The sequence below is a fragment of the Homo sapiens genome, chromosome 2 (assembly GCF_000001405.40).
Source record: "Homo sapiens chromosome 2, GRCh38.p14 Primary Assembly".
In the NCBI taxonomy this organism is placed as follows: Eukaryota; Metazoa; Chordata; class Mammalia; order Primates; family Hominidae; genus Homo; species Homo sapiens.
Window position 1 is genome coordinate 60,633,386 of NC_000002.12, and position 9,692 is coordinate 60,643,077.

Below are 9,692 nucleotides of genomic sequence, written 5' to 3' on the forward strand. Positions count from 1 at the left end.
GATTCAGAATTCTGACCCTACTTGTTATTTGCTTCTGCTGTGCCTCTGAGAGCATTCTGTAATCACAAATCCAGTTGTTTTAACAGAAAATATGAAGTTTTATGCAGAAGACAGGTTTTAAAATTTAGAAAGCTTTATGGGAAAGTGGCAGACTGTGATTTTCAAAGAGCGGGGAATCCCATAAATTTTCCACTTTAAATTCCGTCGTCTCCTGGCGAGTGGAAAACTTACCCTAAAAACTGGGGTAAAGAGATGGATCAGCGGTTTTGGACCCAAAATGGAAAATCTCAACAGGTTTCCTGTATGTGCAAAGCCACTTGAAATTGAGTATGTGTCAACAGAGATTTAATTAACTCCCAGCCAGGACCTATTGGAAATGATCCCAGAAAGTTGGGACAAAGGAGAAGGTGTTAATTTCTCAGCAGGAGAGAAAGTGCCTTTTAACTGCATTGGATTATGGCTTAGGGCCTGGTGATAGAGCCACGGTGCATTTTCAGATGATTCATTTCAAGTGGGCTGAAAACAAGTGGCAATAAAAATCAACAAGTCAGTCCCTGCCGGTAAGGCCAGAAGATGCAGGACGGGGTCCGGCAGTCAACCCCACTCACATTATTCACTTATTCCATGCACAGGTAGTCCCAGAATCTCTGATTCCAGGAAGGACAACAGGAAAGGGTCCTCAAGAATTTAAAATCCAGGTTACTCTGTAAGAGTTAAACCAGTTTTTAAAAATGAAAAATGACACACTTATATGATTACCCTTTTGTAGGAGAAAGCCAAGAGACTGGGAAGTTTAGGAGCTTCAAACCCCAATTGATAATGGCAGCCCCTAAACCGCGATCCTCCCTCGCATCCTCAGAAAGCCATACAGATCCACAAGGACAGCAAGTAAACCACACATAAGCCAGGACTTCAGCATACTGGGATGAATACTGTGAATTTCAAATTACCTCTAAGTAATAGATATTGATTGATAAATGATAGAATAGATAGATAGATAGATAGATAGATAGACAGAAGCAAACATCAGTTGAACCGATTGAAGTAATCAGAGTATAATCTTGGAGAAGCAGAACTGGATGTGATCATAATTGAGTAAGCAGACACAAAATCAATTATGTAGTACACTGTTAGGAGAAAGTCTGGAACATAGAAGGGAAACTCTAAGGAGTGGGAAGCTGACCCTGTTTAGTCATTGGTGTTCAAGGGGAGGAGGTGTTGAAGTCAGGGGATTGTGAACCTCCTACTCCCTGGAGAAATGGACTTTGTTGTTGAGTAGGAATGACTCACGAAGTCACATGGTAGGCAAGATTGAACCCTTTTCCTAAGAGTCCACTTATCCACACCAGAGTTCCAGGCTCACCAACCAATCTTCCCTAGACAAACCTGGCTTCCCAATCATGCAGGTACCCAGAAGGGGCTAGGCAGGAAGTATGAACATTTCAGTGATCAGAAAGCAGTTCCCCACTCTAAACAATAAGCTGACATCAGGCTGCTATGTATGCAGCAGTCTTCTGTGAGCTTGATTGATGTGGGTCGGCCTCCCCAAGTCCAATCAGCTACAATGACATGGCAAAGGGCTAGACCCAAGACAACTGTACGTTTACCAACAAATTACCTTTTGTTAGGTAGTAACTCTGACCCAATCTATACCCCCTTTTGTACCTAAAATGCTTTCTGTGTGCCCAGACCTGTTCTAGGAGCTTGAAGGCAATAAAATAAGATCCTGCCAGTCGACTCAGAAGAATAAAACTTGACATGCAAAACCATTAGAGGACAATATACAGTAATAAGTAATTGAGTATTAGGTAGGGCTTATCAGACAGTATTTGCATGAAAGCTGAAAGAGAAGCACATCCCTTGGGGACTAGAGCTGTGATACTAGTAATCATAATATGTTTAATTTTATCACACTTCATCATCAATAAAGCAATTACACATATCTGATCTAATTTAATTCTCTCACTAACTAGTTGAAGCAAGTGCTATCATTCCCTCATTACAAAAAACCTGAAGACCAGAGAGCTTCAGTTACTTGGTCCAAGTCTTATAGCTAGCTAAAAGTCAAGCCACATCTCCTGATTCCAAAGTCAATGCTCCTACAATACCCAGCTGAGAACAGGAAAGTAAACGAGTGGATATTAAGGATCTTTAGTGAGCGGAGAAAGACATGATACCTGACATCAGGGGAGGCTTCCTGGAGGAAACAAGATTTGGGGGAGAGCCTGCAGGTGAGTGGGCGTTACAGAGAAGGAAGAGAACATATCCTGAGCAAGGTCAGACTCTCCCCCCGAGATGTCCTGAGGTGTCTCTGGGTCACACCCTTGCAAATCAAGACTAAAACATCAGTCTACGCCAGAGCTGGATCCAGAGCCTGGGGTTTGTAACATTGAAGAAAAAGAATACAAATCCCCTCAGGCTCCCTGGAATAGGTCTTACAAATCTTTAGCATCACATAAACCCTTCTTTGGTCATCACTCTGATATTCATAAGCCCCCAGATCCTATTCAGAACCCATCTGCTGATCAGCTTCCAAAACCAGGAAAGGCTCCTGCCCTTCCCTGGGACCTGATTTATAGAAAGGATCTGTATTAGTTTGGATTAGACTCAGCTGCCAGTGACAACAATAACAGCAACACCAAAACAGTAGCATAGATGAAAGAGAAGGTTATTTTTCCCAATATAAATGTAGACCGTTTAGGGTTTATATGGTAACTAGTGATCAAGATAAAAGAGACTCACCCTCCTTCTATCTTGTTGCTCCATTATTCTTAATACACAGCTTCTATCTCATGGTCCAACATGGCTGCTCAAGTCCAGCCATCATCTGTCTTCCAGCCAACATAAAAAAAGTAATTTCTGGAATGCGTGCATACTTTTCTCTTTAAGGACACTTCCTTGGAGTTACACACACTTCTTATGCTTGCAACCTATTGGTTAGAATTTATGAGATGGCCACACCACACTGCAAGGGAGACTGAGAATAAATATGGTCTTTATTCTGGATAGCCATGTAACTAGCAAAACATCAAGGGTTCTATTACTAAGGAAGAGGAGGAAATGTATGGTAAGAAACTACTTACCACAGAACTCAAGTTCCTTTGAGGAAGACTGTGGAACTCCCAGTGAAGTCACTAGAAATGGACATGGTAATGATTTTACAACCTGGAGGCAAGATCACAACCAGGCAAGAAGCAGTCTATTTCATTCACCCTATTTCAAGGCCGAATGAAAACCACCAGGGAGGAATACTGAGCATGTGCAGCTCTCACAGCCATTGGTATACTCAGCGGCCTTTGGAGGACTTAGCTCGGGTTCCTTGGGCAAACTTGGGTTTAACTCCCAGCTCCACCAGTCACGAAATACATGACATCAAGCAAGTTACTGAACTGCTACATTATCCAAAACTCTTCTGGTTGCAAGTGATAGAGGCCAATTCAAATTAGCTTACATTAAAAAGGGAATTTACTTGTCCCCCGACCCAGAAGTTTTAGAGGTTGTCCAGCTTTAGGCATGTCTGAATCCAACCACATGGCTCAGTCTCAGTCTTGGACTCTGCTTCTCTCTGGGACTGGCATCATTCCCAGGCAGGTTCTCTTTTCAAATGTTAGCAAGCCCACCAGCAGAGCTTATCATCTCCTTACTTAGCAACTCCAAAAGAAGGAGAGCCCCTTTCTAATTATCCCGACCAAAGACCCAAAGTCAACTCTGGTCCAGCAGAGGTGATTTATACATCTTTGAGCCAATCATGGTGTCTCTGACTGGCCTGGAGCTGGGTGGGGCAGGCCTACCTTAATCACAAGGGGGGACGAGAGTGGTTCTCCAAAGGAAACTGAGGATGCTATTAGAAGAACGGGGAGAGTTATGCTGGTTAGGCAGAAGGAACATGTCTTTGTCCATTTTGTGTTACTATAACAATACATGAGGCTAGGTGATTCATAAAGAAAAGAGGTTTATGTAGCTCATGGTTCTGCAGGCCGGGAAGTACAAGAAGCATAGCACCAGCATGGCTTGGCTTCTGGTGAGGGCTTTCATGCTGCACCACAATATGACAAAAGGTGGTGGGGGAAGTGGGCTCATGGGAAGAGGCAAAACCCGAGAGGTGCACTGGCTTTATAACAACCCACTCTCGTGGGAACATTCCCTCCAGAACTAGTCCAGCCTCCAAAGAGCGAGAACAGCTCCAAGCCATTCGTGAGGGATCCGTCCCCACAATCCAAACACCTCCCACTAGGCCCCACCTCCCAACACCACCACCTCAGGGATCAAACGTCAACATGATTTTTGGTGGGGACAAACTCAAACCATAACACAACAGAAGCTTATTTTTTTCATCCCTTAGTATAGTACTTACTTCATCAGACAATTATGAGAATGGAATGAGATACCACGCATGAACACATTTAGCATAGTGCCAGGCACATCACAGGAGCCTTGCAGGTACATGTGACTGGTTATAAGGGGCTATAACAGAGTGGGGAACCAGCACAAAAACTTCAGAGCAGAATGCCAGTAAAGTGTGTGGCCCAGAGCAGAGGCAGCGCGGAGAAGAGGGACAAACTGAAGTGTGTGGCAGGACAGAGGAGAGAAGTTCCAGAACAAGCGTGTGGCAGAGTCCCTGGAACAGGCCAAGCAGCTATAGCAGGTCAGAGTGAGACCTGGTGGGGAGACAGCCTAGGGGACAGGGGGTGAGGATGGCAATGTCAGGCAGGGACCTGGCAGGAATCACAACCCATGCAGAAGCATCTGACTGAAGAGTTTAGTGAACTATTCGGTTGGCGCAATTACTTTTGCACCAACCTAATACTTGCAGATGACTTACAGAGGCATGGTCAAGGTTAAGTGAACTCCTGCAAGGTGTGTGGGTCCCAGAGACCAGCAAGAGGGGGCCACAGTTTTTTTCATCCCCCAGGCTGAGGGGGCCAGGGGAGAAATTGTATTGCTGGAAGCCAGTGACATCTGGAGTCCCTGCATGAGGAGGGGCCGCCCAGCAGGAGCTAAAGTCACGGAAGGACATAGCCCCTGCCAGGCCCAGGCTCTTTCTCACCCATCTCAACCTCCTGCTGGTGCCTCCTCTTGGCCAACCCAGAGCACGAAGGAGCTGCATGATGCACTCTGCAGAGGTTGGCCTCCCAGGGCACAGAGCAAGCAGAGAAGGCAGACAGAGATCTGGAGGGCAAGTGGAATACCCAGCCAACCCAGCATCGACGGCTCCTGGGGACCCTAACTTTCTGGAATCTTCTGCCCCTAATATGGAGCTGCAGAGAAAGACGTGGTGGTGATCTTTCCTCCTACTCAAAATCTCCCAGCAGTGGGAGAGAGGCATGGCTTCCAGAGGGTCAAGAAGGCAGGAACTCCAAGCAGACTGTAATTTCTCATTGGCAAATACACTCCAGAAAACTGTCCCTGCCTACCCCAGCATGGCCAGCTCACCTTACAATTGCCCTCTCCTCATGGGCTCTACCCTAAGCCCTGAGTCAATGAGACCACGGTGGGCAGCGGGGGTGGGAGTTGCAGGGCCCAGGGTAGTCATGTCGTGTTTCTGGAGAAAGCCTCTGAGGACCTGCATGCCTGCAGAGCTGTGCCCCCGACCCTCGTCTCCCATCTCCTACACCTAGTCCACAAGGTTGGGCTTCTGTTTCCACCCCTGGTTTGTTCTCTAGTCCCCAGCAGGTGTGGGAAGCTCATCTAAGCTCCAGCCTGTTTGGCCTAACTCTCTGAGACCCCCACTTTCTGGACATGGTCCTGTCCCATTGTACAACAGTGCTTGGTACTTGTTTTTTGTTTTGTTTTGTTGTTTTGAGACGGAGTCTCGCTCTATTACCCAGGCTGGAGGGCAGTGGCGGGATCTCGGCTCACTGCAACCTCCGCCTCCCAGTTCTCCTGCCTCAGCCTCCCAAGTAGAGACAGCATTTCACCATGTTGGTCAGGCTGGTCTCGAACTCCTGACCGCAGGTGATCCACCCACCTCGGCCTCCCAAAGTGCTGGGATTACAGATATAAGCCACCGCACCTGGTACTTGTTTTTTTTTTTTGGAAGAGGCTTTAAGGTAACGGTTTAAAGAACAAACCCTGCAGCCAGTGGCTCCACCACTTACTGTGCACGCTTGGGTAAGTTAGTTGACCTCTCTTCTCCCTAGTTTCCTCATTCATAAAATGGGAACAATAAAAGTACCTGTCTTAGAAATTGATTGTGGTGATTAAATTAATTAATAGCTGGAAAATGCTTAGAACATGCTTCACACATTGTTAGCAACCAATAACTTTTAACTAATGTTATTACATTTTCAATGAATGAAAGTTGAGTTAGTTGTGGCAGCAATGAGGACTGAATTCGGGAAGCTGGTCTTGAATTATGAAGCTCCTCCTCCATGGGTGAAAAAAAATGACCAGTATGTCTTCTCAATTATATTCAACTTGGATTTGAGAGGATCTCTCTGGGAGGTTCGTCCTTTGATGACCCAAAGCCATGCTCCGCGTGCTTTCGTGATTATGCTCATTAACAGGACCAGGAGCAAAGTTATTCTTAGTATGCCTGAAGACAAATCAGAAAGTCCATAAGAACTAAAATTAATCTTCCAAAAGTCTCCATTGGTGATCAGCGTGTATTTGCACAGACTTTTTGAGGGTGATGAAGGCTCAGTATGTGTCGCATGCTCTGCTGAAACCAGCTTTCTGAAGGCTGAGGAATGTCTACAGAACTTGGGGAATTAGTTATTTTAAACCAGTGACAATAAACAATGCCCTCCCTCTCCCTCCTTCCAGGCTCCACCTTGCTGACAGTCCCATGTAGATGTCTCAGTTTTAAGATCAGGGAAGCCAAAGATGGGAGAAATTGAGGCTCCCTCGCCATGTCTTAAAATGTAAAGCAAAGAATGAGACAAATCACCTCTCCTTCAGATCATGGTGAGATTCAATAATTTTATTTATTTATTTAGAGATAGCGTCTCCCTTTGTTGCCCAGGCTGGAGTGCGGTGGCACAATCTCAGCTCACCGCAACCTCCGCCTCCTGGATTCAAGTGATTCTCCTGCCTCAGCCTCCTGAGTAGCTGGGATTACAGCTGTGCGCAACCATGCCTGGCTAATTTTTGTATTTTTAGTAGAGACGGGGTTTCACCATGTCGGCAGGCTGGTCTCAAGCTCCTGACCTCAAGCGATCTGCCCTCCTCAGCCTCCCAAAGTGCTGGGATTACAGATGTGAGCCACGCGCCTGGCCAATAATGATATTTAATTCACATAGACAGTTCACCCTCCAGGGCCCCACCCTCTATTTTTACTTTGAAAGATAAAATAGCAAGGATTTAAATTTGTGAGCAATGTCAGACATGGTGGTGTGCACCTTTGGTCCCAGCTACTTGGAAGGCTGAGGCGGGAGAATCGCTTGAGTCCAGGAGTTCTGGGCTGGAGTGCGGTATGTCAATTGGGTAGCCACACTAAGTTCGGCACCAACATTGCGACCTTCCAGGAGCAGGGGACCACCAGGCTGCCTAACGAGAAGTGAACCAGCCCAGGTTGGAAACAGAGCAGGTCAAAACTCTCATGCAGATCAATACTGGGATCACACTGGTGAGTAGCCACTGCACTCCAGCCTGGGCAACATATGAGATCCCATCTCTATTTAAATAAATAAAGTTGTGGGTATGCTTTGCTGATTCCTCTCTGGTGTCCTCCTGTTCCTCATTTTCAGCCTCCATGCCATCAGCAGCAGTGTAGGGTGCTCCTGAAGAGCCACATCAGGCTCTGAGGGTCTCTCCCACCATTTCCTTCTGTTCCTAGATCTCTAGCACCAGAGCTGATCCTAAAAGTCCCTGCTCATGTTCATCCATCCAACCAGAGGTAAAAGCTGAGTTCTAGAGGTGTTGGATCTGAAAGACACCTCAGATAGCATCTAGAACCATCACTTCAACTTACTGAAAAGGATGCTGCATCCAGAGAAGAGACAGAACTTAGACAAGATTATAGAGCTAGTAACTCTGAGATCCAGAATGTAATTTAGACCTCAAGACTTTCAAGTATGCATGCATGCATTCATTCTTCAACTAGGGTATTTGACAAGCATTTTTGAGTATCTGTGATGTGCCTAGCACTAGATCAGCAAGACAGACAGGGCCTACCCTCCCAGGGGACATAAGGCAGCAAATGGACCATTTCCACATAGATTTATAGCCCAGAGCTCTTTCCCTACACCTCACAGCTGGGATTTGAGCACAGAATCCGACCCTCCACATCTATAGAGGTACATCTGCAATTGAGATGCATATCACTTATAAGAATGATAAGAATAGCATGAAACCACTCACTTTAATCCATGTGACCTGTGATGACAAAAACCAAAATGAAAATGTACACACCAAAGCACCACCCTTCCACAGAATGGTTGTGTGCATAAAGAAAGAGCATGAACTTAGAAATCAGAAAGCCCTGGATTTGAAACTGATCTACTGTTAATAGTTACTAGCCGTGTGATGCTGTGTAAGGGACTTTGCCTCACTGGGCCTGTTTCCTCACCTATAAAAAGGAAGTGATAGTGCCATTTCATAGGGTTATTGCAGGATTAAATGAGGTAATGGACCAATGGATGCAATTCACACAACACAGTCCCTAACACATCACAATGCTCAAAACACATCAGCAACTTTTCTTCCTCTACCACCCCCTCTGCTATAGTTAGCACTGCAGTTCCATTGCTGGCCTCTTTGAGGAAATCATGGGCCAGGTGCAGTGGGAGGCAGAGGCAGGCAAATCTCTTGAGCCCAGGAGTTTGAAACCAGCCTGGGCAACCTGGCGAAACCTCATCTCTATCAAAAATACAAAATTAGCCAGGCATGGTGGGAAGATCGATTGAGCCCAGGAGGTCAAGGCTGCAGTGAACCATGATGACACCAGGCACTCCAGCTTGGGTGACAGAGTGATATCTGTTTGAAAAAAAAAAAAGAGAGAGAGAGAGAAATCATTGCATTTGGAAGACTTAGTAAAATGATTCACTTGAAAGGGTGATATGATTACAAACAAAGCCCCCAACCAGTTTTCCTTTTATTTCCTGGAATTTTTTTTTAAAGCAAATTTCTTTGAACACTTATTAATAAGTGTTAGAGTCTGCCCCCTAGTGGTCATGTCACACAGTGTGTGCTTACGCAGATGACAATTCAGCCCCCAAAACATTTCCCCCATCTGTGTTTGATTAACCTTCGACGGTGCCTCTTGGCCTAGTCACAACAGATTTTTATCTTAACAAAAAAAATTAAACAGGAACAATTGTGACTAAAGTTAACAAGATTGATTGTTTAGCATAGAGGTTAATCTTGGCTGCACATTAAAATCACACACACACACACACACACACACACACATCAATGCCTGGGCTCCACCCTAAGCCAGTTGAATCTGAATGTCTAGGGGAAAGGTCCGAGCATGAAGAGTTTTTAAAGCTCTGCAGGTGATTCTGATGAGTAGCCGGGACTCAGAATCGGAGATTTCAAAACTCTATCAGAACTTGACAAATGACAGCACAGGCCATCCCCTTGTAGGCAACTCTCCCAGAACCCTCTGTGCGCTCTGCAGAGATATTGCCCTTGATCAGAATGGTTTTGGTCCCCTCGGGGGAAGCTGCTTTCAGATCATGTAGCATATATTTTGGAGCATTCTCAATACTGGCAAATTTTTGTCTTTTGACAGTGGATTTGAGTTTGGA

The 9,692-nt window shown here is 45.6% G+C and overlaps 1 pseudogene, besides 2 other annotated features; it reads left to right on the forward strand.

The window, feature by feature from the left end:
- Nucleotides 1-713: an enhancer, noted in NCBI's record as "OCT4-NANOG hESC enhancer chr2:60860521-60861233 (GRCh37/hg19 assembly coordinates)". NCBI's record gives its function as "activates a minimal SCP1, AML or CMV promoter by ChIP-STARR-seq in primed H9 embryonic stem cells {active_cell/tissue: H9 hESC(primed)}" and the evidence as "EXISTENCE:reporter gene assay evidence [ECO:0000049][PMID:30033119]".
- RN7SL361P (RNA, 7SL, cytoplasmic 361, pseudogene) lies at nucleotides 7,329-7,617 on the forward strand (annotated as a pseudogene).
- Nucleotides 9,154-9,203: a silencer, noted in NCBI's record as "silent region_11519". NCBI's record gives its function as "represses an Ori minimal core promoter by ATAC-STARR-seq in GM12878 lymphoblastoid cells {active_cell/tissue: GM12878}" and the evidence as "EXISTENCE:reporter gene assay evidence [ECO:0000049][PMID:35858748]".